We start from the raw sequence: 27,447 nt of genomic DNA, 5'->3' as shown, positions 1-27,447 counted from the left end.
AAAGTATAAGGTGAGAAATGAAAACCAGTAGTTGCCTGGGAAACTTTTGGGAGAGGATATGTCAGACTGCAGTTAGCTGGAAACACAATCTAAATGCTCAAATATTTTAAGGGACTCTAATTTGGACACAAACCTGCCGCTGAACCCATTCCAGGACTATCGAATGCAGAACTTCCTGGAAAGCAAAGTGTTCTTAGTCCTGCAATAAGAGTGCATAGTTCCTCAGCTGCTTCCAGGGCCTGTGTGCTCCTGATTTTTGATAGGCCACAGGTGATTCAGGTTGTCCCTGGGGCTAGAGCTTCCTAGACAAGAATGCCCAAGCCAAACAAAGAACTGCATCAAATATGTTATGGCTCCCCTGTGGCTCTCAAAACTTTTGCTAGTAAAATATTGCCCTTGACCGTAACCATCCCACTTGGCACAAATTTTAGTTGGGAAAAGTAATGGGTTCAATGGAATAAAATGAGCTAGGGTGGGAGTAGCAAGTATCTGTGGCCTTTAAGATGAAGAGACATTCAGTATTGCAAAGCAGATGAATGATCTTCACACTCCTCAATGACATGAAAAGCTGGTTTTTTTTTTTTTAATTGCCACTGGATTTCTCAATTGGGTTTTTAAAAGTAAGCTCTAGAAGGTGTTTACTCTAAAGCCAAATTAGCCAAAATACACCAACGGAGAGCTCTTGGGCATACTACTTCCTTTATGCCAATTAGAATTCTTCTTAGGTGCCAGAATAATCATCTCAGTAATCTCAAGTTGTGTAACTCCCCCAGTTCTTCAAGGTCTGTTCTTAAATCTCACTTTCTTGATGAAAATGGCTGTGATAGCCTTCAATTTATGCTGATTCTTCCCAGCGTTGGGCCCCTAGAGTACACAGTGGCCACAGTTTAATCCTCAATGACAGATTACCGTGCAATAATATTTTCTGATTATGTCTAGTGTTTGCTATGCTTTGTCCACCGTAGGGTGAGCTCCTTAAGGCTGCGACAATGTTTCCTATAAACTTCCATTGCATGTAGCAGAGCGCCTAGGGGTCTCAATAAATACCCAGTGACTGATGGAAACACAGTGCTGTCTGGTTCCTTAAGAAAGTATCTTCTCTAGTTAAAATGAAAAAAATAAAATCAAACTATCATTTGACCCAGCAATCCCATTGCTGGGTATATACTCAAAGGAAAGGAAATTGTTCTACCCGAAAGACATGCACATTTGTATGTTCATTGCTGCATTATTCACAATAACAAAGACATGGAATCAACCTAGATGCTCATCAATGGTGGATCAGATAAAATGTGGTACATAGACACCATGGAATACTTCACAACCACAAAAAAGAATGAAATCATGTCCTTTGCAGCACCATGGACACAGCTGGAGGCCATGATCCTAAACAAATAAATGTAGGAACAGAAAACCAAATACTGCATGTTCTCACTTGTAAGTGGATGCTAAGCATTGGGTACCAATGGACATAAAGATGGGGGTAATAGACACTAGGGATTACTAGCAGGGAAAGAAAGGGAAGGAGGAGAGGGCTGAAAAACTACCTATTAGGAATTATGCTCACTACCTGGGTGACAGGATCATTCATATCTCAAACTGCAGTGTCACACAACATACTCGTGTAATAAACCTGCATGTATACTCCTTGAATCTAAAATAAAAGTTGAAATTACACAAGAAAAAAAAAAGTAAAATAGTTAAAAGAAATTTTTTAAACTGAGTAAATTGACCAGTGTTGGTTTAGTTTATATTCTTGTCATCAAGTATATCAGTTTAAACTTGACAGAATTAAAAATATGTATTTTTTTTTAAAAAAAAAGAAAAGAGCACGTCTTCTCAGGAGTAATGCCATTGATGCCCAGTCCCTTCTCTCTGCTGGAGCAACCCAGAACCTCCCACATCTGTCTCTATGGCAGTCAACTCTGTGTTCTCCTGTCTGGGACTTGATTCTTCACTGAACAGAAAATTTAGCCTTCGGGAATATGAAACAGCCATTGCTGAGAATTCTGGGAATTCCTTTTAAAGAAAATGACAAAATCCATGCTTGTGGGGTAGGTGTTTAAAGGTAATTTTGGAGACTCTGGAGTCCCATAACAAAGAAGAATCTGGGCCTTAAATCTGGCTTGAAAATATGTGTGCCAAGAATAAAGTGGTAGGGCAGAACAAACTGCAGTAGCCCATTTGTTAGTTGTTAGCCTGGATTGAATTAATGGAGGCTTAGACAAAACTGTGTCATTAGATTCACCTTGTCCATGATGAGAATTCGGGATTGTGTAAAAACCCGACGTGTATTTCTCCTTGCAATATGGAACTGCAGCTTGGTCGCTCGCCATAGCCAGAAGTCTGTCTTGATTTTCTCTGTCCCTTTAATGGTTTCTCTGTCCCTTTCCTCCTTCCACAGGTGGAAAATAAAATCCCACATAACAGTTATGCTTTGGGAAAGCTGAAATAACATATATGGCAACCGAACAGTTATAAGGGAAAAGCACTTCATGAATTTAATTCCATTTCCAGATGTAAAATGTCATAAAGAATTTTTTTTCCCACTCTTGGCAAAATAACAGGAATTTTCGAGACCATTTTATTTAGCTGAGTGTATGCACATTCATAAGTAGGGTATCAGAGTCTTCAATGTGGAGTGTGCTATAAATGCGATGTGTTATAGCTTTACTGAGATTAAACTACCAAAGGCCCCACATTCAGCTAGGAGGTGCATGACCCTCATTGAAAGGGTGGGGAACTGTGTCTGACTAATGGTAGAACTTGGTGTGTTTTCAAAGCAAAGACTCTGGCCCATACGGGGAGGTTTCTGACCAGTGTAATTATTCTCTAGTGACTGCAGACATTGGAATTGTCGTCTGTTTCAAAGAGCAGATCATTTGGTGATTCCACACATTTTTCATTTTGACTTCTCTTTTTCTTTCAGCCTCTTTGTATGAGACTTAGGGTCTTTGTAGAAACACCTGGGTAGGAGCTGAAAAAGCCTAGCTGGGAGTAGGGCCCAACTGGCCATTCCTTTGGCTTATGTAATTCAACTAAATCATACAGTTAGAGTTTTGAGAAGGATAAGTACTTAAAACACACACACACACACACACACACACACACATACACACACGGTGTTCCAAAAAGCCAAGGACATTTTAGAGAAGGGCTATAAAAATAACCAAAGGGTAGGAATAAGTCAGTTTGGTAAAAGTCTCCATGGCACATGCTATCATTCTGATAACTAAAGAAATAACTCCTCTATTGGAAAATTAGCTGTTCAGGCAGATTAACGGATGTGTCCACCTGAAGGGTGACCCCCACTGTGGCCTTTTACTAGCAGGAAAGGGCTCCTTTACAACTCAGCTCCTGCTTTGTATAAATTATTGGAGTGAGGGACATGGGAGAACTTTTGGGGAATGAAAAGAAAAATAGAATTTGAGAAAGCCGATCGGTTTTCTTGAGAACTGGTAGAAGACTGCTAACGTACTTGTAGATTCCGTTCTTAAAACTTTCTTGTATTTTTCATGGGAAGATACAGACTTTTTATTCATGTTTCTATTTCTGTATAACCAACTAACATTGCCATATAATTAAATGATTTAAAATGGAACCTACCACCGTCACTCTCCAATTGGTCTGTTTGTTGAGTTGGTGTTACTAAAAATGAGAGATCACATCAAAGCAAAATAGGGAATGGCAGAAGGCGAAAACCACTTTTATTTAGAAAAAAATGCAAGCAATTTCAATTGATCCTGATTTCTCTCTCAGAAACTTGGGTTAAAGGTACTTTGTCCTAAATAAATTGGTTGTTGCTTTTGCATTGCAATATATCAGTTGAGGAGAGCTGTCATTTACCATGACTTAGTTTTCAGATCTGCAGGCTTTGAGCTGTAATACAGATGTATCAACTCTAAGAAATAAATGAAAACTGTCACCAGTGTCAGCAGCAGAAACTGGGGGTCCATCCCACACAAATTATGGACATCTGTATTCCTAATTGGCATTCTTTAGGGCCATGCCAGCAGAATGGCAGTGCCAATAGAGTGACAGCCTTAGAAAAGACACGTTATCAGGTCTAGGTGACAGGAGACGATGAGGCATAGAAGTTCCTTTGTATGGATTACTATCCGTATGTTTGCTAATATAATGCTGGCGATTTTCAGTTTCAGGCACCTCCGAATGGCACCTTTTATCCATACTACATTTGCTTCTTTTAAAGCAGATCAGTTGATCTTAGGTGAATAAGTGGTATTGATGGTTATATGATCAGAAGACCCTTGGCAGAGATGCATACAAATAGTTAACAAGGTAATGGTAAGAAATGTTGACCTTGATTTGTTTAGCTAAGATGTAAAGATTTTTGAAGGTCAAAGGTGTCCTTGTGTAGTGTTTTGGAGTCTAACTGTGCCTGACCCTCTAACATTAAGCTGCTGTGGCCTGCAGTTTTGAAGAGTGAAGCAAACCAGGGGGAAAACGAGAAGGGGGAGAGAACAGGAAATGGAGTGAGGTGTTTCAGGAAGTTGTCAGGGGTTGACTGATTGATTCCAGATGGGAAGGGTCAGCCTTCGTGACCCAGGAAATACTCACTAGGGGAAAGAAGTTGGCTTGTGGAAGGGGAAGGCCTGGGAGTAAGATGATGTTGGAATGCGCATTCCACTTCCTTTGGTCCTAAAACGTTCAGAAATCTTAACTTCTCCAAATAGACGAATATCAGTGTTGTCACTGTTCATCAGTAAACAGTGAAGGAACTTAAATTTGAAGTTTTGACTGTACCAAATATATCTTCACCTGTATAATGTAGTTCATTCTTCCAGAAGTAAAGCAAATGTATGTAAAAGTCAGTATTTAAGTGTGTGTCTCTATGTATAGAAATAACCACCAAACAGGTCTGGTTTCCTGTTGTGGAGTTTATGAATTAAATCCATCACATTTTGAAAATTCAGTTGAATTGGCAGGCTCTTCCAGCTACCTCACCATCTGAGATATTTGGAATATTAAAACCTGGAACTTGCCTCATATCTATACGTACACATGCACACACACATACATTTGGACATAATTTAAAATCTTGTAATAAATTTTATGGACACTGACATAATTCAGGTTAATTCCCTAGCTGTCATGAGAGGCCAGCGTGAGCCAGCAAGAGATTAAAATTTATTTCTATTGTTAATAGAAAATAATGAAGTGCATCTGAACCATCAGGGTATGTCATTCGGGAAATGTTCACTTTGGAACTAAGTCTCACTCCACCCAAATGGACAATGATGAAATCAGCTGGCTTGTGAAAGCCCCATATTTTGTGGCAGGAATGTGTGGGGAGTATTAATGGACAGTATGACAAGGAGCTTGTGGAGTGAATTAAAGCAGCCTCAGAGAGAAGGCTCTTTACCTCCACGTAATCCTCAGACAGGGCCCAGGTTCCCCTTAGTGTGCCTAGGACAGCTCATTAAGAATTAATGCCCATGGCTGGGTGCGGTGGCTCATGCCTGTAATCCCAGCACTTTGGGAGGCTGAGGCGGGAGGATCACTTAAGGTAAGAAGCTCTAGACCAGCCTGGCCAACATGGTAAAACCCCAAAAATACAAAAATTAGCTGGGTGTGGTGGCAGGTACCTGTAATCTCAGCCACTCGGGAGGCTGAGGCAGGAGAATCGCTTGAACCTGGGAGGCAGAGGTTGTGGTAAGCTGAGATCAGGCCACTGCACTGCACTTCAGCCTGGGTGATAGAGCAAGACGCTGTCTCAAAAAAAAAAAAAAAAAAAAAAAAAAAATGGAAGAATTAAAGCCCAAAGCACCCTCTCCTTGTTTTCTGTTTTGTTTTTTCCAGAGATGACAGTTATGTCTTTGAAAATGCATTCACACACACAATTTATAAGAGTGGTTTGATTCTTTCTTCTCTCTCTTCTCCTATTATTTTCGGGGGGTAGGCAATACAATCTTCATGTTCATCTTAACCTTGCGACCATGAGGCTCTGCCTCTCCCTTCGACTGTAACATGACCTTGTGTTTTGCTGAGATCACTTTGATAAGAACGTGAGCACTTACGGGGAGTGATAGATGCCGCCATCTTAATGTTTGCCACTATGATAGGAACTTTCTGGAAGGAATTTCCCCAGATTCTAACATGTTAACATGGACACAATTGAAAACAGACACAGCGCTAGACAGGCTGTACCCCTGAATTGTGAGCAATTATATTGATAATTTTCTGAATGACAACTGAGGTTCCTTTAAGTTTATTCTTTGAATCTCTGGGCCCTGTCACATATTAGAAACACAGTGAATTATCTGTTGGGTTGGATGACTGACACTTATTCATGTAAAATTTTGCATATGTTACCACCATGTTCAAGATGTGACACTATATGAGATGATTTGTGGACTCATGGGTTTTAGGGATTTTCCCAAACCTATTATGCTAAAAATATAACTTAAAAAGATGTCATCAAAAAACTCTTCAGGGCAAAGAAAAAAATCAGAAGAGTATTGCTTTGCTGGTGGTGGGGGTAGGATGGACTGGGAGGGAACACAAGATGACTTTTTGGGAAGATGGAAATAGTCTACTTCTTGATCACAGTGTAAATTGGACAGCTAAGATTTGTGCATTTCAATGTATGTAAATTTTACCTACAAAAAAACCCAAACCTGTGATTATTATCATTGTTGAGTAGGGGGTTGGGAGTGGGTGGTGGTAAACAGTAGTTCCCCCGTCCACTTTGGAGGCTTCACTTTCTGTGGTTTCAGTTACCCAAGGTACAGTACAATAAGACATTTTGAGAGAAAAAAAGAGAAGCCACATTTATATACTTTTATTTCAATATCTTTTTATAATTGTTCTATTTCAAATATTATTGTCATTAATGTCTTACTGTGCCTAACTTATAAATTACACTTTATCATAGGTATGTATAGGAAAAAGCATAATATAGGGTTTGATATTCTCTGAGGTTTCAGACATCCACTGGGGTCTTAGAGCATAGACCTCTTGGATAAGGGGTCTACTGTAGCTGAGATGAGAATGGCGATATTTTGACAATTCTTGAAGCTGAATGGTAAGTACTGGGGATTCATTATGCTATCCTGTTTCTTTTGTTTGCTTGAAATTATTCATAATAAAAGGTTTTTAAAATGCTGCCTCATTCCTTCATATTCAGAGGTAAGGTAGGGCTGGGAGCTGTGGCTCACTTCGGTAATCCCAGCACTTTGGGCGGCCGAGGCAGGTGGATCACTTGAGGTCAGGAGTTCAAGACCAGCCTGGCCAACATGGTGAAACCCTGTCTCTACTGAAAATACAAAAATTAGCTGAGCATGGTGGCAGGCATCTGTAATCCCAGCTACTTGGGAAGCTGAGGCAGGAGAATTGTTTTAACCCTGGAGGTGGGGGTTGCAGTAAGCTAAGATGGTGCCACTGCACTCTAGCCTATGCAACAAAGTGAGACTCTATCTCAAAAAAAAAAAAAAATACGACAGGATCAAGCCCCCTGCCCTCCATTTAATAAGTAAGGAAGGACAATTACAAGTAGAATATCAACTGTTTTAATTTGGGAGTAGACAGGAAGAGTCATTTTTAAACACGACTCTTCATTTTGTACCTATTTAGTGCCCTTCCTCAAAAGGTCTACACATGTTTGTGAGTATGTATATAATAAGTTCTTTTTTTTTCTCAATAATAATGGCCATGCGTAACTGATGTGAACTGAGAAATAGACCCATGTCTAGGGTGGTTCGTCTTCTGGGTCAAGTGATTCGGTGGGAGCTCCACCCAGGTCCACTCCCTTCTGCTATGCTTGGCCAGCCTTTGCTGATATCCACCTCTTTGAGCTTCTCCCCCACCCCTGATCTGCAGTACATATGCTGGAGCTCGATTTGATACCAGTCTTTGTGCTACTTGTTTCCTGTGTTAACTATGATTCTCCAGCCAGAAAATAAACTCTTTTAGGTTAGGGACCATGCCTTATAACTGTTGGTACCTATTTCCTATCTGCCTCCTCCTAGGACCTCCCCCCGAGCTTAGACCATGGGAGAACCTCTGTGTGTGAGTAATGTCATCTGTCTTATGGTCTGGTCAAGCCCAGCATGGGCAAAGCAGTTAGGACGCAAACTCATCCCAGTTTGGCACACACCAAGCACTGTGCTGAATCCTTTATATGTATTACAGGTTGAGTATTCCTTATCCAAAATGCTTGCATCTAGAAGTGCTTCTGATTTCGGGTTTTGGAATATTTGCATTCTGTACTTACTTACTGGTTGAGCATCCCTAATCTGAAAAATCCAAAATCCAAAATGATCCAATGAACATTTCCTTTAAGCATCATGTCAGTGCTCAGAAAGGTTTAGATTTTGGAGAATTTTGGATTTCAGATTCTTGGACTAGGGATGTGTGCCTATATCTCATTATACCTCATTTCAGCACTGTGAGATACACATTGTTATTTATATCTTACAGATAAGAAAAACTGAGATTAGAAAAGGTGAAGTAATTTGATCATGGTTGCAAGTTAGGGGACAGAAGCCTGGGATTTGAATTCAGCTCTCCCTGACTCCAAACCCATGTTCTGCCACTGTTCCACACCACCTCTCCCCTCACCCTCATTAGATGCTACACATCCTCTATTTTCAACACTGAATTATGGCAACCTTATCTTCTCAGCAAAAGTCGAGGCATCGCTGCCACCACTCTCTACTGGGCAGCAACACCACAGACAATTCACCAGCCAGCATCCCAATGCTGGGCATGATGTCAGGACCTGTCTGAAGTGCAAGAACCCATTCCTGAGCTTGAAGAAGTGACTTTCCAGCTGGCGTATAGATCTCAGCTTCCACATGGCACACCAGCTTTCTGTGGTGGAGGCTCCACTGGCGGTGGCGGTCCAGGTCTTTTGATAGAGAACCAGGTTTCTGGAACCAGCAGGCAGATGGTCATTTTCTCCACTTCATTACATGGGTGTGCTTTGAGCAAAGGTTCTTGACAATGCATGGATGAAGGGCAGCCACTTTTTCTGTAAAGTTTTGACATAATTACAGAAGGAGAAAACTCTGTTGAGTCCCAAGTTCTGTCCCATCTCCCCTTTGCCAAATGGAAGTGTGGCAAAACAGAATTTTGGTGCATTTGCTACTTCATGTGAAACTAATTCCACTGCACCCCCTTTCTCCTTTTTACTTTAAATATGCAGGTTGTGTTGTCAACAACGGTGAATGTGGATGGACACGTCCTGGCTGTTTCTGACAACATGTTTGTTCATAACAACTCCAAGCATGGACGGAGAGCAAGAAGACTCGATCCATCGGAAGGTAGGGCTGCCTGCGCTCAGCATAGCAGACACATGAAATTCTCCACGAATTTCCTTGTTCGAACTTCAAATTTATGTCTTGGAGTCAGAGCAGAGAAAGTACACAGAACAATGTGGGTTTTTTTTTTTTTAAACGAAGTTGTAAACACAGACTCCAGCCTGCTCCACTGTAAGGCCCACACGTCTACCAGCCCGTGCCAAGTCCTCATGCCTCCCACTCTCTTCCATCCTGTTCTGTGTTTTCCTTTTTGTGAGACGGGCATTTCAGGCAAACATAGGCCTATGACATCTTAGTTAAACAGGAACATTGCAGTGCCAGACATGTATGAATAAGTGTCACATGTGCCCTTAAACAGATTGTAGGCAAAACAAAACAATGCTCAGAATGAAACTGACACTAATTGATTTTTGTTTGCTTGGACAAGAAGAAATCATGGTCTGTTCTGGGTAGTTTTCCAAGTGCATTAAAGTAATTAGAAATACCGGTAACTGTTAAATTTCAAGTTGTCCAAAAAATTAAAGTATATCGATGAAGATAACTGACAAATCTAAGTAAATTCCATTTTAATTATTCCCCTTCTGTCTGCACTCCCCAACTCACTGGTATAGAAAGACCTTATAATACAGAATGTTGGTCAAACTAGGCTACTATTTTAGTGTGATGTTTTGTTATATACTACCACCCAACCCCCACCTCCCACCCTAACTCAGCCCTGAAAATGTATCTTGTATCATTGTAAACAGGAATTAATGAACTGAAAGAAAATGATTGAATCAGTAAAGAATTTGGAGTGGTGTTAATTCTCCCACAGTGGGCACTGAAAGGGGAGAAGAAAATCCCAGAGTTCAGGACTAGGAACCCATCCAGTTTCTTTTGACTGATTGGATGTGATTGACTGGCTGTTCAAAGGGGGCTCATGTTTTTGGAGTCCTGCCAAAGTTCTCCTCTACCTTTGACCCTGTCAACTTTGGAAATGGAGTGATGGATTGACTTTAGTTATGGCCTGAAAACCATATTGGGTTCCTGTTGGGATATAAAGTCCAGAGGCCTGGAGCATATGGAAGAAGTGGGGAAAATCCTTCCTACAAAGTTAGTAGAGTGATTAGAAATTGTCTCTTGATAGAGCTGAAAAAAGCCTTCAACTATGATAGATTTTGCTTTCTCCCCCTCTCTCTCTCTGGCCCATTAACAGGCCTTGTAAATCTTAACATCTTAGGGCAGAGGAGGTGGGGAGAGAAAGGGGATTTACACATTTCCAGTGTGATCAACTTATAAAAATATGGGCAAAAACAACAGAGTTTTTCAAACACCCTTTGCACAATTACCTAAGTGTTTTACTTTTTCATACATAATGGTCAACTCATTAGGCTTTAATGACTCGGTGAAAACCAACAGCCAGTTAGGGAATGATGGCAAGTCAACAAATCTCAGCTTGAACTTCTTGGAATGACCAGCAGCTTTCAAAAGCAGCCCATCCGCAGAATTCTAGGCTTCAACCAAATACGGGTGTCCAGCCCTTTGAATGCAAGGACTTTTTATTTGTGGTGTGTCCAATCCTTTGAAGGCAAGGATTTGTTTTCTTATCTGTGGTGGGGGATATCACAAAAATTATACATGGACCTTTTTTGTTTGTTGTTTGTTAGCTCATCAGTTATCGTTAGCATTAGTGTATTTTATACGTGGCCCAAGACAATTCTTCTTCCAATGTGGGCCTGGGAAGCCAAAAAGTTGGACACCCATGAAAGAACAAACCTGACTTTTTCTTTCCTGTCTTCTTAGCTACCCCCTGCATCAAAGCCATTAGCCCGAGTGAAGGCTGGACCACAGGAGGAGCCATGGTCATCATCATCGGGGACAACTTCTTTGATGGTCTCCAAGTGGTGTTTGGGACTATGCTTGTATGGAGCGAGGTAAGCAGAGGCAACAGGCTTACTCTGATTTCCTTTTGCCCAAAGATTGTTTTGATCTGGGAAACTAGCACAAACACCAAGGGTAAAAAAGCATAAAAGTCATAGTAAATCAGGCATGGGTTTCTTAAGAAGATAAGTATCCACTGCAGTATTATTTAAAATGGTGAAAACTTAGAAATCTAGAATTGTAAAGTGATGGAATGTCACTCCACCGTTAAAAAATGTTTTGAAAAAATTCGAATGATACAGGAAAAAGGATATGCTCACACTGTAATACTAAGCAGAAAAAAAACAAGGACAACACTGCCTATGGATGTAAAATCTAGTTATATAACACACATTTATACAAAGGTACTGGAAACATACCAGATGTTAATATTGATTGTCTTTATGATGTTAATTTTTAAAAAATATTTTTCTGTAATTTCAAAATGTTCTAAATTGGATGTGTTTGACTTTCATCATCATATAAAACATGACAAAAAGATAAGTGACAGTGTTAAGTTGGGGTTGGCACTTGCCAGATCAATATTTGAAATCACAAGCAGGATAGGAGTTCAGCAGAGGAAAGGATTCCAGGGGTGAGGGTGGGGTTGGCAGCAGGAGGTGGGAGGGACTTGGCCTGGGCTTGTAGGAAATAAAGGACCTACATTGGTTGAGTTGAGAGGAAATTCCAAGGTGGGGGTCAGAGAGAGAGAGACAGACAGAGAGAGAGAGAGAGAGACAGAGACATACACACAGAGAGAGGGACAGACAGACAGAGACAGACAGATACACAGAGACAGACAGAGACAGGACAGGGATGTTCAGAGTGCATTTGGAGCTAGGAGTACTCCAGTTAGAGTAGAGCAGAGAGAAAGAAGCCCCTGGGGAGCAATAGTGGGAGATGTTGTACACCTTATGTCCTTGGTGATGGCTTGTCTAATGGGTATTTTATTTCCCTGCCTGTTCATTCCTCAGCTAATAACCCCTCATGCCATCAGAGTACAGACTCCTCCCCGGCACATCCCAGGCGTGGTAGAGGTGACATTATCTTATAAATCTAAACAGTTCTGCAAAGGAGCCCCAGGAAGGTTCATTTACACAGGTAGGTGAGAAAACGATTCCAAGAGAGGCTGGCTTCTGGTTTGCCTTTGCGCTAGTTCCCAGTATCTGCACTTTGTAATCGTCCTGATTTTTCTAGGTCTTTTTACTAGTGTGGAAAGAGTGAGCTGAGTGATAGATGTTGAATGGTGATGTGAAGGTTCACTTCTCAATTAGTGTTTTACTTAAGCAACTTCTGCATGATCTGGGAGATCACAGCAGCTCATTTCAGGAACACATCTCTGAAAATTTAACTCTGTTGGAACCATGCTGTAACCATCTTTTATCCACATGGTCAGATTAAAAAATAGACAGTTATTGGCTGTAACTACATTTTCTTGAAAAGATTCAAGAGAGTTGCCTAGTGATGTTGGAGAGCAATTCAAAGTATTTTAAAACTTCAAGAAGGTAAACATCATATATTAGTCAATATTTGTTAAATTTCTACTTTGTATCAACTGCTTTTTCTAAGAGAAGGGTATGGATGACACGTAAGACATGATCCCTTCCCCACTTGGAAGTTTAGAAACTTTTGAAGGAGACAACGGTATATTGCAAAGAACAACTGGTGAATTCATAAATTTGAAATGTTTGGTAATTCCGATGAATGGAATATGAGTTTCAGGAAGAGAGGGCTTAGTGTGGACAAGAGTAATGGGGTGAGGTGCCAAGGAAGAGATGGAAATTGAAGACCATATTTACGGACAGGGAAAATTTGGATGGGCAAAGAGAGAAAGGGAGAATGTTCTCACTATGGGAATCCCATAGGCAAAGGCCACAGGGTGAGGTGAGCACATTCCTGCAGGACCAAAAGCTTGTCTGACAGCTGTGGCAATGCATTTTGTATTTAAACTAGAACTTACCCTACATGTGCTAGGCATGTGTATTAGTCCGTTTTCATGCTGCTGATAAAGACATACCCGAGACTGGGTAATTTTTAAAGAAAAAGAGTTTCAATGGACTCATAGTTCCAAGTGGCTGGGGAGGCCTCATATTCATGGCAGAAGGCGAAAGGCACATCTTACATGGTGACAGACGAGAGAATGAGAACCAAGTGAAGGGGAACCCACTATAAAATCATCAGATCTCGTGAGACTTACTCACTACCATGAGAACAGTATAGGAGAAACTGCCCTCATGATTCAACTATCTCCCACCAGGTCCCTCCCACAACACATGGGAATTATGGGAGCTACAATTCAAGATGAGATTTGGGTGGGGACACAGCCAAACCATATCAGCATGGGAGGGAAAGAAAGCATAAAACAGCTTAAAAACCTTATGTAGTACATACAGTAGTCAAATTCATAGAGATGGAAAGTCTAATGGTGGGTACCAAGGGTTAAGGGAGGAGAAATTGGGGATTCATTTAATGGGTCCAGAGATTCAGTTTTGCAAGACAAAAAGAGTTCTGGATATGGATGGTGATGATGGTTGTACAACAATGTGAACTACTTAGCCCAAATGAGCTGCACACTTAAAAATGATTAAGATGGTAAATTGTATGTTATGAGTATTTTACCACATTTTTTTAAAGTTAAAAAAAAAAGGAGCCTGGTAAGGGAGTTTAGACTTGACTTGTCAGAAAATAAGAAGGCATTGAGGGTTTCTGTGCAACGAAGAGTAACTCAAAGGTATTGTCTTCAAAAAAAGAAATGGTGTTAATATAAAGACTGAGTTAACTGAGGAACAACCAGAAGCAGGAAGATCAATGAGGTATTATACTTTGACAGAGAAAATAAAGAGTATAGAGAAAGAAATATATAAACCAAGAAAATATAGCAGGCATATTATAAATTTTTAATAATATTATTTTATAGATAGTGTAGTCTCTCATTTGCGCTCTGATTCCTACTCTTGTTAAAGTGTCAATGTCTGGCTAGCTATCAATTAGCAGTAGATGGAAAGAGGTAATTTTTGGGTCTATTTATTCAAAATTTAGCCTTTGAATTTTCTGTCCTGAGATAAGCACATCTCAGGTGTTATTTTCTGTGGTTCTATGGGAGATTCTATTGCAGTCACAATAAAAAAGTTACTGTTCCAGCTCCAAAGGGATATAGTTCATTCATTCATTCAAACTAGTATTTATGACCTGCCTGCCATGGGCTGGCACAGCTCTAAGCTCACGGGTATAGAAGGGAGGAAGGTAAAGTCCCCCAACTTCATAAAGCTTGTATTATAGAGGGGAAGACAGACAAGAGAGAAAATAAGTGATATAATTTCAGATAGTGAGAAGTAAGGGAAGGAGAGTGAGGGAGGGTTGGGCAGGCTGGTTAGGGAGGCCTCTCTGAAGAGGGGACATGGAGCGAAGACCTGAATCCCAGGATGGCGCCAGCTGTGGAGATCCATCCCCTCTTCTCTCCTTCTTTCTCCATCCTCCTCTCCTCTCCATCCACATTCCCTCCTCCATCGCAGGAGCTCCCTTGGGCTGGGTTTTCTGTTTGGTTCACTGGTGTTCACTGGAGCAGTGCCTGGCAGTCCATGAATCTGGGGGTGGGGGAGGTGGTTGTCCCAGGTAGAGGGTACAGCAAGATTACAAGTGGGAGGGAGCCTGGTGCTGTTGGGGAAGAGCAAGAATGCCAGTATGGCTGGAGTGGAGTCAGTGGGGAAGAGAGTGATGGGAGATGAGGTTGGAAAGTCAGGCAGGGCAAGGACTTTGGATGGGAAGACGTGGAAGATGTTGAGCAGAGGAGCAACCAGCATCTAGACAGGATTTAAAGCCACAGGACCAGAGGAGATCACCATGATATGGTGGAGAAGTCCAAATATGGTGCCTTGGGAACACCAGCATGCAGGATTAAAGATGACAGGAGGAACCTGGGAAGGATCCTGAGAAGGAGTGGTCAGGGTAAGAAGAAGCCAGAAGCGTGTGCTGTCCCTGAGGTCAGTTGGATAGCGGGTCTTGTTCCAGGACACTGTTTACATGTAGAGCTTCTGGTATCTCTGTTGTTTCAAAGACACCCCTGGATGTGGGTGATGGAGCTGGCCTATAAGGAGATGAGTAGGTATCATAACAAACACATTGCAGCCAATCCTGAACTCTCTATTGAAGTAAAGAACAATCTCAATCAGTAGCGCAATTGATGTAGACATTTGGAACCAGGTGTTGTGTACGTGTGTGTGCATGTGTAAAAGAGGTCCTCACCCTTGGCCACACTTTAAATTATCAGTGCCTAGGTCAAACCCCAGACCAATTAGATATGGATTTCTGAAGGTAGAAGTGTCACCCATTTATTTACTCAACAAACACGTGCTCTAAACACACAAAATCAATAATATCAGTACACCTCTATCAGCTTACAGTTCTAGAATGGGAGATGACAGAAGTTAAAAAAAAAAAAAAGGGAGATGGCTACAGTTACATTACAATAACTAGATTCAGCCCCTAAAATAAAAAAGGGTTATAGGGGCACTATGCAGGGAGTGACTAGCTTTGGGGAATCAGGGAAGGCTTCCCAGAGGAGGTAGCAATAGCTGACATTTTTGAAGCGAAATAGGAATTTGCCAGACAGAATGAGGAGGCTGTGGTTGACAGATCTTGGAAACACAGTACCTAGCAAAAGGGGAGCCTATACACCTGTGAAAATAACAGATGTTATGTTACATGTAAATTCAAATAATTTTAGAGATTAAGGGAATATGAAGATTAACTAGTCAAAGTCCTCCTTTTCCAGAAGAGAAAACTGAAACCTAAGCAGAAGTGATTTGCTAGTAATTGCCTGTTGAATTAAAGATGGCATTAGAACAAAGATGCAGGCCTCTGGCCATCCTGCCTGGTGTCTTTCTGATGCTCCTTTAGCAAGTCGTAAAATATCTCTGTTTTCTTCATGTGCTGAGACATTAACGACTTTTGCATGACGTGTGTATTTATTGAGCAGTGCACTCTGTGCTCAACATTGAGCTCTATGCTCAGGCTATTGGAGACAAGTCAAACCAGTGTCTCCCACCTTCCTGACATTACAATGCACTGACATAAACACTAACTGCTCATGCTCTGGAATTAGATACCTGGACTCATAGTGTGGCTTGCCTTCTGAATTGTTCTTGAATCTTGGGGAAGTGACTTAACCTCCTTTTCCCCCATCTATAAAATGGGCTACCTACAGAGCTGAGGACTAAATGATACAGTGCCTGGCAACTGTGGTGGGCTGGCAAAGGTTTAACAACTGGCTCTTCAGGAAGAAGCAGATTTTCTTTTTTAAATCATGGGTTTATACCATTTACTGATTTCCACGGTCAAATACTCTCACCATGGCAGATTTCAAGCTACCACTCAAGTAGCTCACAACGTTCCTGAAAACTTCACCACCTGCCTTCACAAGCTGGTACAGCCAGGTCTCTTCATGGAAAGCACCTGGGATAGAGAGTGGATAGAATGGCCCATATCTTATTAGTCAAAAAGTGGTTTATTATTTATATTATTCTTATTATTACTGAAATGGGAAAAGTCCCCTTGTTCCCCTCGCAGGGCATGCGACGGGGCTGTGGCTCGCTTCTTCAGTGCCTCACTGTTCAGACCTCTAGGGGAGCATGCAGACGGGCAGGCTGTGGGGCTCTGACCCCATAGCAGTGTCTAGGGGTAAATTTTACAGCTGAAGCCCCAGTGGGTGTGTGTTACAGGTGCTCTTTTAGTTTAGCCTTCCGTAGGCGGCTTGTGTTACTCAGCTCAATTAGACCCCTGCCTTATCACAAGGACAGAGGGCTTTCATATTCCAGGGTTCTTGCTTTGGTGTACCAGAAGAATTGGATCACACCTGGGCTTGGAGAATGAGTGCAAGGTTTTATCGAGAGGAGGTAGTTCTCAGCAGATAAGGGAGCCAGAAGGGAGATGGTTTTCCCCGGGCCTCTCGGCAGCCCAGGTTCTCCTCCAACTGCCCCAGCCACATTCTGTGTCGTTCTGCCGGTCAGTGGCCCGCCGGTGCCTGTCGGTGCGTTCCTCTGGATGTCCAGCCACCCAGGTGTTCCTCCGCTGATGTGTGTCTGCCTTCCAGGGTCTCGGGGTTTTTATAGGCACAGGATGGGGGCATGACAGGCCAGGGTGGTCTTGGGAAATGCAACATTTGGGCAGGTAAACAAAAATGCCTGTCCTAACTTAGGTCCATGGGCACAGGCCAAGGGGTGGAGCCCTAGCCAGGGACCAGGCCTTCCTCTACCCAGCACTTCCCTTCCCCACTTCCATATCATTTAAAGGTACCACGCCCTTCCCTTCCCAGCACTTCTGTGTCATTACCATTAGCCTTATCAGTATGGAGACTGACTTAAACAAGGAATTGCAAACCTGATGAGGACTAAAAGGAGTTGTTTAGGATGCTGGGAACATATGCCAGGGGAATTGAACCTCCTTAAACTGAGTTGATGGGGAGGATTTAGAATAGACAAAACAGTATGTGCAAAGACCCTGGGGTAGACAAGAACATGGGATATATTTTATGAACAGAGCAGAAGGAATGAGTTTAAGAGAGGCTGTGTTCAAGCTGCAAAGGTGGGCAGGGGCCAGGTCACATTAAGGCTTGTTTTTTTTCAGCTCTTCCTCAAGCGCCATGGGAAGCTTTGGGAATATTGCCACCATCAGATTTGCCTTTTAAAAGATCATTCTGGCTACAATGCAGAGGATGGCTTGGAAGCCAGGTTGGATGCAGGGAGGTCACTTGGAGGCCAGTGGGGTGGCCCAGGCCAGAAATGATGGTAGCTTGGAGCAGAGTGCTGGTGGTGGGGACAGGCAGAAGTGGATAAAATTTAGGAGGTAACATTGACACAACTTGATGATTGATTGGATGGGGTGAAGGTTGGGGAGGGGAAGGAGGGGACGACACTCATGTTTCAGAGTTGAAAAATTGGGTGGGTATAGTTTAGAAAGTGATTTTTTTTTAAGATATAACGTGCTAAGGGAGTTCAGAGGAAGGACAAAATACTTCCAGCTGGTGGAGAGGTGGGAAGATTTAATATTGTAAAGATGTCGATTAATGAATACATTTAACACAGTGCCAATCAAAATAGCAACAAAATGTTTGGGAAAACTTTACAAAAGTTCACCTGGGAAGGAAAGGTGCTAAAAGAGGATTTTGAAAAATGAGAGGCCCTTGCCCTGCCAGACATTAAAACCTATTTTAAGTTTCAATAATTAAAAGAATATGGGGCTTTGTAGGAACATATAGAAATGTCATGCAACAGAAGAGAACATTTAAAAAACAAACACTTTGCACACATTAAGGGTATAAATACTTAGGTATTAGTAGGTGAGGGAAGCCAGGTCAGGTCAACGCAGAAAAGATGGAATGCTTAACAAATGTGTTGGGCCAACTAGTTAGGCATTAAAAGAAAAAGTTAGATTTTAAATTTCATAGCATATAAACTAAACTGTATTCAAATTAAATATTTTTATTAAAAATGTAGACATTTCAGAAGATTACAGGTTTAAAGAATAATTATCATTTTGAGACTTGTGAACATTGAGGCCAAAGACAGGCACCATCAAGCAAAAGATGTGATTACGTAAAAGGAAAATGTTTGTGTGTCAATATGCCAGGCATTAAAGGGAAAAGGACAAACTGAGACCACATATTTGCTCTACGTGGCCTATTATCTTAAGTATAAAAAGACTTATTCCTTTATTCAGCAAAAATTTATTTTGTGCCTACTGTTTGTTAACTGCTATGTTATACATTGTGGAAAAAGAGGAGAACGTTAGGTATCTTAGAAATTGAAGAGGAAAAGACAAATATCCAAATAGAAAGCTAGCAATGAACATCAAGAGTTAAATTCAGGAAGGAAGACTAGTAAACAAAGAAACCTATTATAATAAAAAGTCCCAACTGCACTAATAAATAAATGCAAATTAAGGCAACAAGATCACCTTTTTTTCCCTATCAAGTTGACAGAGATTTTCTTTTAAACAAATGAAAATACTCAGGTTGGCAAGATTCAAAGACAATGGAGACTTTCTAAGATACTACTGCAGGATACTCTAGACAGGATTTAAAGCCATAGGACCAGATGAGATCGCCATGAAAGAGTGGAGATATGGCACCTTGGGAACACCAGCATGCAGGATTAAAGTTGACAGAAGGAACCTGGGAAGGAGTCTGAGAAGGAGTGGTCAGGGTAGGAGGAAACCAGGAGAGTGGGCTGTCCCTGAAGTCAGTTGGAGAGTGGGTCTTTTTCCAGGACACTTTCTGCATGTAGAGCTTCTGGTATCTCTAGTGTTTCAAAGACACCCCTGGACATGGGTGATGGAGCTATAAGGAGATGGGTAGGTGTCATAACTATCTAAGATACTACTGCAGGAATGTAAATTTGATAAGAGAACACCTGAAGATGTATGTGCCCTTTGACCCAGCAATTCTACTTCTAGAAATGTCTGCCTAGGAAATAATTGAGTTTGCTGGAAGACCGTTCATGGGAGTTTATTATAGTGAAAAATTGAAAATATCCTCATTGTACATTAGGGGATTCATTAAACAAATAATGGAACATCTTCTACACTTTTTTAGAGACATTAAAAATAATGCCATGGATGGATATTTATTTACATGAAAGGCATCTGTGATATGGGTTTTAAAGGAGCTTTAAAATAGTCTGCATGATATGACCCAATGTTTAGATATATGAAAAATGAGTAGTTTTACAAACAACCCTAGTAGGGTACAGAATCCTGCATGCCAAGGTATTAACAATGGTGGTTTCTCAGTGTTGTTGTTATTTAAATTTTTTTCATGTTGCTTACTTGTATCTAATAAAATTAAATAATTTAAAATTTAAAATTTAAAGAATAAAGTATGGCACAATATAGCATCACACGTTTAAATACTGAAACAGTGCACATTAGTAAACTTGATTTTTCAGGTACAAAGTATTTCCAGCCTGATAGTTGGTGGTGCTTCTTCCAGAAACTGCCTTTGAGAAGGAAGGGCCTTCGGGGGCAGTCGGAGTGAGGAGGGGAGGGACTCAGGAGTTTGTTCATTCACAAATAAAGAAGAAATGCTATCAAGGATGGCTGGATCATCCTTGTTCATTCACAAATAAAGAAGAAATGCTATCAAGGATAGCATCATCCAAAATTACAAATGCTATCAAGGATGGCTCAGGAGTCTGGCCACTTTCTAGAAAAACTTCCACCCCGAGGTTACTGAGCGAAGTACCACTTGGGTTGGTGGAGACAGGAAGCTGATGTCATCCATGGAGGGTTCTAGAGCCCACAGGAAATAGGTTGGTGGCCTCCTGTCTTTCCCATTGAATTGGCAGCTACTGACATGAAAAGCCAATTTCGTCTTCATCCACTATCAGTGGCTTCCACAGGCACCTGCTGATGGGCTGTTCCACCTCAGAGCTGAGTCCTCACTCTGGTCACCTGGAGAGCCATGGCCTCTTCCCTAGGAGGAGAAAGACAAAGCCCTCCTGTCTTTCCAGCCACCCTGAAGCACTGACCCACGCACTCTGGACGCCTGGAGTGCTTCACTGCAGGACAGTGCTCCTAGGCTGCTATAGGCCTAGACAAACCACTCACCTCCAATGGCAAGGTGGACAAAAAGTCATTCTGGTTCTGGAGGAAAAGGCAAAACTTGAAACCTAGAGGGTTTTAAAAGGTGCAGAGTGAGTGCTGTGAGCAGGACGGGTCCCGAGAGGAGGACCAGCCGGAAGCACTGCCTTTGGGGGCTGGCCGTGTGGTCCACTGCTTGTGTGTACTTTCATCCGGTCACTGACCTCTCTGAGCCTCATTTCCATCATCTGTAAAGCTCTGGTGCCAATTATGCTGTTACCCAAAGGTGTTTCCCTAATTTGGCTGATCATAAGAATTATGCTTGGCACCATTCCAGACAATGCCAAATCATGCTCTTCGGACAGGGTCTGGGAATCTGTATTTTAAACAAAGAAATGAGTTTGAGAAACCTGAGTTCTGCTCCTGAGGCTGTTGGAGAGGCTTTCTGGCCTATAAAGCACTCCACCCGTGGGAGGGTTCTTACGAGACTGGGTCCGTTCACCAGGAACACAATAGTAGTGTTTACTCTTATGTAGAACTTTCTAGAAGGAGAGTCCTGCGGGAGACTCCAGAGAACCTTTCCTCCTTCCACCCCTGTCCCACTGCACACACTCTGTGGTCCATAGTCCAACTGTTGACATTTTCTGTATCCAAGGATGCACCACCATGACAGAGCCAAGCCCATTATTAGGTGTACCTGGTTAATTAGCCAGACCCCCATGGTTGCCACTGCCAACCACAGCACAAACAACATCGGGGCTCTGAAAAATAACACATTTTCTTTGCACATGTGACTTTGCAGGTCAATTTTCCACCAACCGTGGTTTGCTAACGTGCAACTTGCTTCTGCGCAATTGAGAGAGCCACGTGAGAACAGGGCTCATTAGGGAAAGTCCAGTTGCCTCTTACTGGTTTGAGACCTGGAGGAGGTATGCTAGCCTAGGCGGAGAGGAGAGGAGAAGAGATCCTCTGTCTTCCGCGCAGACTTCCAGAGAGAACTGGCAATGCAGAAAAATAATCCTAGTAGGGGCACCCAACAGAACCACAGTGACTGGTTGTTCAGGGACTTCTTGGCTGTCTTGACTTCAGGTGGCAGTGAGTATGCAGGGAGAGGATATCAGAGCATGGTATTTAGGGGTGGAATTGTCATTGTCTCTAATTGTAAAATCTGCACCAACCACAGAATCCAGGGCAAAACACAGTGTGTGAGGACATGGGGGTAAATGAGCACAGCTTTTCACTATTGTTCCTGTGGTTCTTTGCAGAACCTGGACTACACATTAGACAGCTGGTTAAGAAGTCTTTTATAAGTTCTATCATAAGACAGAATAACAAGCAAAAATGACAGCAGTTCAGTAATCACATCTGTCATCTATTAAGCACGTAAGGCAAGGCTCTGTCCTACAGGCTCCGAGTATCACCACCTTTATCTGTGATGACAGTTCTATGAGGATCTCAACTTCATAGCTGAGATCCTGCTACTTAGAGAAATTAAGTCACTTGCCTAAGGTCACCAAGGTATGATGAATCCTAGATGTCTTATTCCAAAGTTCTGCTCTTAACACCTAACCTGTACTACTTCCCAGTACTGTACAGTTTATTACAAAACACGATACCAAGGCCATCTGTTTGGTCTTGTCTTGTTTTACTTGGCAGATGATGCCTTGGCTCTTGGGCTGTTACTCTGGAGAGGTGCACAGGAAATAGGCCGTGGCTGGTGAGCATGAAGGGGGTCTCAGAAGACGCCTTACCTGGGCCCTGGTTTTCAGATTGCAATATGGGAATATTTCTTGCTACTCTCCTGAGAGGGTCTGAGAATGTGTATTTTATTTTATTTTTTATTTTTATATTTTAAGTTTTATTTTACTTTAAGTTCTGGGATACACGTGCAGGACGTGCAGATTTGTTACATAGGTATACATGTGCCATGATGGTTTGCAGCACAGATCGACCCATCACCTAGCTATTAAGCCCTGCATGCATTAGCTATTTGTCCTGATGCTCTTCCTCTCCCTGCCCCCAACCCACCGACAGTGTGTGTTGTTCCCCTCCCTGTGTCCATGTGTTCTCATTGTTCAGCTCCCACTTATGAGTGAGAACATGCGGTGTTTGGTTTTGTGTTCCCATGTTAGTTCGCTGAGCATAATGGCTTCCAGCTTCATCCATGTCCCTGCAAATATGACATGCTCTCATTCCTTTTTATGGCTGCATAGTATTCCACAGTGTATATATACCACATTTTTATTATCCAGTCTATCATTGATGGGTATTTGGGTTGGTTCCAAGTCTTTGCTTTTGTGAACATGCTTCAACAAACATACGCGTGCATGTATCTTTATAATAGAATGATTTATATTCCTTTGGGTATATACCTAGTCATGGAATTCCTAAGTCAAATGGCAGTTCTGGTTCTAGATCCTTGAAGAATCACCACACTGTCTTCCACAGTGGTTGAACTAATTTAGGGAATGTATATTTTAAACAAAGAAATGAGTTTGTGAGGCCTAAGTTCTGCTTATGAGGCTGTTGCAGAGACTTTTTGGCTTATAAAGCACTCTACCCTTGGGAAGGTTCTTATGAGACTGGGTCCTTTCACTGTGAACACAATAGTAATGCTTGCTCTTAGGTGGAACTTTCTAGAAGACTCAAAAAGCAGGAGTTATGAAGGGGAGGCTCCAGTCAGTATGATGTGCTACACTCAGAGCCTGTGAAGTTCCTTGAATTCTTTAGAAATCATAGAAATTATCCTCTCTACAAATAACTGAAGTTGCAGGAGGCAAAGAAATATGAACTCCACATTTTTATTAAGCTTGAGAGAACCTGGCGCTGGGGCAGTCTGTTGTATAGAAGAGAGCTGATGACAGAGTGAAGAGGCAGGGATTTGCATTCCAACTTTCAGGAAAAGCAACTTTTCTTTGTGCCATTTTTCTAACCTAAAAATGAGGATATACTTACCCCATTAGAAAGATAAAATTACATACATATGCAAAGGTATTTATGTATATAAATATAAAAGCACAAGCACAATTCACTGTTGTAAGCATCTGGTGGGAGGATACATGCAGCTCTGGGGAGCGTCCTCCCTCTTTGCTGTTGGACCAGCACAGGGCTTCTTTGTCTGTCTTCTGGAAAATGTGGATTCATCTTGAAAGACCTACCACATCATGCCCTGAATATCTCGATCTAGATTAGAAATCAGGTTTTTGCAGGAGACAGAGAAGGCCAAGGGAGCCCAAGAACATGGCCTTTGCAGGAGAGGGACAGGGGGTCACAAGGAAGCAGGTATTAAAAGGTAGAAGCCAGGCACCATGGTTCCCCCCTGAAATTCCAGTACTTTGGGAGGCTGAGGCCAGAGGATCACTTGAGGCCAGGAGTTTGAGACCAACCCAGGCAAGATCCCATCTCCAAAAAAAAAAAAAAAAAAAAAAAGTTAGCCAGGCTGGTGGGGCATGGGCTTGTAGTCCCAGCTCTTGGGAGCCCAAGGTGGGAGAAACGCTTGAGCCCAGGAGATCGAGGCTGCAGTGAGCTATGATTGCACTACTGTACTCCAGCCTGGGCGACAGAGGGAAACCTTGTTTCTTAAATAAATAAATAAATAATTTTTTAAAAGAACCCAGAAGTTCTTGTAAGAAAAAAATAAATAAATAAAAAATAAAAGGTGGACCAAAGGAGCAGAAGAGATTGACTGTGTCCCAGCTGGCCCAGGTACATGCAGAGTAGGTGCTTGACAAGGTGTGCAAGAGAACTTAGAGGTCTACATAGACAACCTGCTAGTTGAGATGCACCAAGAAACCAGATAATTCATGCTAACTAACCCCCTCTCCCAGAATACTTCTTATCTTCTACTTTGGCAAAAAAACAATTTTTTTTTTCTGTTCATTATTTGGGAGAAAGTATTCATCGACAGGATTAAGGCAAGAACAGGCAGCAGCTGGGAGGAAAAATCAGAGGCCGAGGTTTTTCCACACACCCCCAAATCATACCCTGAACAGCCTCCTCCCCAAGGCTGTGTGTGAATTGTGGGGCCTGCCTTCATAAAGCTGTGCTGCACAGATGTGCAAACTGGATTTCAAATGTTAATAGCTCATCCACTTCGCATTTTTTTTCCCCATATAGCGTTATCCTGGAAAAAAAAATTCCCATTGAAGAAATGAATCTGATTTTTAGTTAAAAATACCCAATTCAGACATCAGAAACTGGCCCAAGTACAACTATTCCTTGTTCAAACTGGAGACAGGTTGAGTCAATAGCCCCCCTGGTAGCCTGCACTTTTACTGAAGTTGTCTCCACTCCCACCTCTTGTGAAATTCAGATACATCATTCAGCTGAGTCTGAGAAATGATGTCTCCGTTGTTAGCCCCAGAATAGGGGGCTGCTGTTTCACTAGAGACATCCCAGCCCCTTAATGGATTGGCACACTCGGCTATAATATTCTAAATACACATTACAGAGAGCAAGAGTGTATTTATAACTGCTCCATTGTGGCATTTAGATTTACCCTTGAAATTTATCTTTAATTTTTACAGTTGTCTCCTTAACCATGTATATTATTCCCTTCTTCAAACAATCTGTCTTGCTGCTGCAGTTTTTCTGGAAACCAAAGTGTAATTAAATATTAAATTAATATTTCATTTAAAATTAAATATCAGAGGCTTCAGTCTAATCTTTCACTTGTGCACTGTTGGTTCTCTCCTCGTATTCTTGTTCCTGTGTCCACAAAGGCAGGTACCGCCTCTTAATAATGTGTTCCTATATTATCTTTGTTCCTTTTTGTTTTTAAATTGGTGACACTGAACTTTTGCTACATTAAAACAAATGGATGTGGGGAGAGATTTCAATGTAGCCAAGGTTAAAGACAACTTAATTCAACAGCCTTGACTTCAGCTCCACCCTCTACTCCTCAGAGAAGAAAGCCACTGCTCCAAATCAGTGATAGCCTTAGAATCATAAAATGTAAGAGCTTGAAAGGGGTCTTAGAAGCCATTTACCCCAATCCTTTGTCTTCACAGAGAAATAAACCAAAGCCTCACCTGGCCAAGTGACCTGATGAAGGTTGTGTCATTTGTTAGTGTTGGGAACTAAGGCAGCTCCCAAGCTAGGACCAGCTTTATCCCATCACACCATCATATGCAATGAAAAACTTAGCATTTAAGTGTGAATTTAACGTAGCCTTTGCATGTTGGACACATGAGGAATAGGGCAGAAGGGAGACAAATAGACAAGGAAATTGGAAGGGGAAGGACGAGGGAGAGAGAAGGGAACCCAAATCCTAGCACATGGAAGACAGACTTTGTGGGAATGAACATGTGGGAAGAAAGTACTATGTAAGGAAAGAGGACAGAGACGTCCTAAAGTGGCACGAGGGCAGGAGCTCGTCTGTGTTATCTAAATTCCTCCCAAAGCCAGATTGTGTTTCATGCCTTCCTACGCTGTCAACAGAGAGTAATTCTCCTTGGCCAAAGCCACGTGGCAGGTATTGTTAAAGCATGTTTTCTCTTCCATTGCCAGTCAGTGTCTGTCTTCTGGTCTTGTGTTTATATGGCAGTCACATTATATAGATTTAAGGGTTTGTTGTTGTTGTTGTTGTTGTTGTTGTTGTTGTTTGCTTTCTTACAATGCAAAGAAAACCTTTCAGTGGTTTTCCTTATTCTTGAAGAAAGTTGGAATTTAGAGTTAGGACTGTAGTGATCCTCTAGTTCTGTGGGCTGTCACCCTTAGGAGACCATGGGCTGTGTGCACATCTGATGAAGTGAAGCTCCCTTTCTGCAGATAATGCACAGATGCACAAACACATGGCTAGGCTTAGAATTTCTACTTTTATTGGCCTCCTGATGACCATTTACAGATTCCATGGTAATCCTAGGATCCAAGGGAAGACTCACTGGTGAGTAAAGCTGCAACCGAGGCCAGCAGTGTGATCCGCCAACATCCCCAGAGTGGCAGCCAATTGAGAACTCAGATCTTGCCTCACTCATCATCATCTTCTCTCACATTTTTTTTAAAAAAAGCAACCAGGCCTTGATGTTGCCATCTTTGCAATCAGTGCTCCTGCTGGTCAAGAGCATAAATGACCTCCAGCCTGCAGTGTCAAGGCTGTAATTGTTAAGGGCTGAACAGGGTTCTAACAAAGAGCCCCCTTTCCATGTTAGCCAGTGTCCCCTTCATTTTTGTGAAACAGAAGTAGAAGTATAAGATGGGGTAAGCATTATCTGCTCCCTGTGCCTCCTCTTAAGGAAAGAAAATTAAAACCATATAGAATTTTATATCGCACTAATCCTTTGGGAAAATTAATATTGAGCACCAGCCAGCTTTTTTTTTTTTAAAGAGTGGTTCCCAGTAGATATTTTTAGTTAAATACTATTTACTTTAAAAAAGAAACCATTCACATATTGCTTATAGTTTATATTTATTTATTGGGTCCAAGATATATGTAAGTAATCTCATATATTATACCCGCAATCAAAATGAGAAATGGCACATGAGATCCAGGCTCTCAAGAGAAATATTATGAAATCTCAAGGTATTGATGAAAGTTTTTCAAGGCTGATCCAAATGGGATTTAGATTCTGTGGCAGTTGAAATGTGTATTATTAAACTCCTTAAGCAAACCCGAATGACTCCCAGTGGAGGATTAAGACATTCTATGTATAGCAAAGACGAAATTCTCATGTCTGAGTTTTCTCTCTTGAATTCC

At 41.8% G+C, this 27,447-nt stretch overlaps 1 protein-coding gene and 1 long non-coding RNA gene across 2 annotated transcripts in view; one reads left to right on the top strand and one right to left on the bottom strand.

Moving 5' to 3' along the window:
- The window catches only part of EBF2 (EBF transcription factor 2), a 203,689-nt gene that overhangs the window by 146,378 nt on the left and 29,864 nt on the right, over positions 1-27,447 (top strand). The window contains exons 8-10 of the mRNA NM_022659.4: positions 9,167-9,284; positions 11,064-11,194; positions 12,155-12,281. Of these exons, the coding sequence (NP_073150.2) occupies positions 9,167-9,284; positions 11,064-11,194; positions 12,155-12,281 (376 nt within the window). The remainder of the gene's footprint in view (positions 1-9,166; positions 9,285-11,063; positions 11,195-12,154; positions 12,282-27,447) is intronic.
- LOC124901914 (uncharacterized) lies at positions 20,585-21,278 on the bottom strand. The gene is made up of 3 exons (XR_007060863.1): positions 21,164-21,278; positions 20,781-20,842; positions 20,585-20,646 (listed from the first exon to the last, which is right to left on the bottom strand). It is a non-coding gene; the product is annotated as an uncharacterized LOC124901914 (long non-coding RNA).

Source organism: Homo sapiens, chromosome 8 (assembly GCF_000001405.40).
Source record: "Homo sapiens chromosome 8, GRCh38.p14 Primary Assembly".
Classification (NCBI taxonomy): domain Eukaryota; kingdom Metazoa; phylum Chordata; class Mammalia; order Primates; family Hominidae; genus Homo; species Homo sapiens.
Note: the sequence above shows the minus strand (reverse complement) of the source record. Positions and strands in the feature narration are given on the sequence as shown.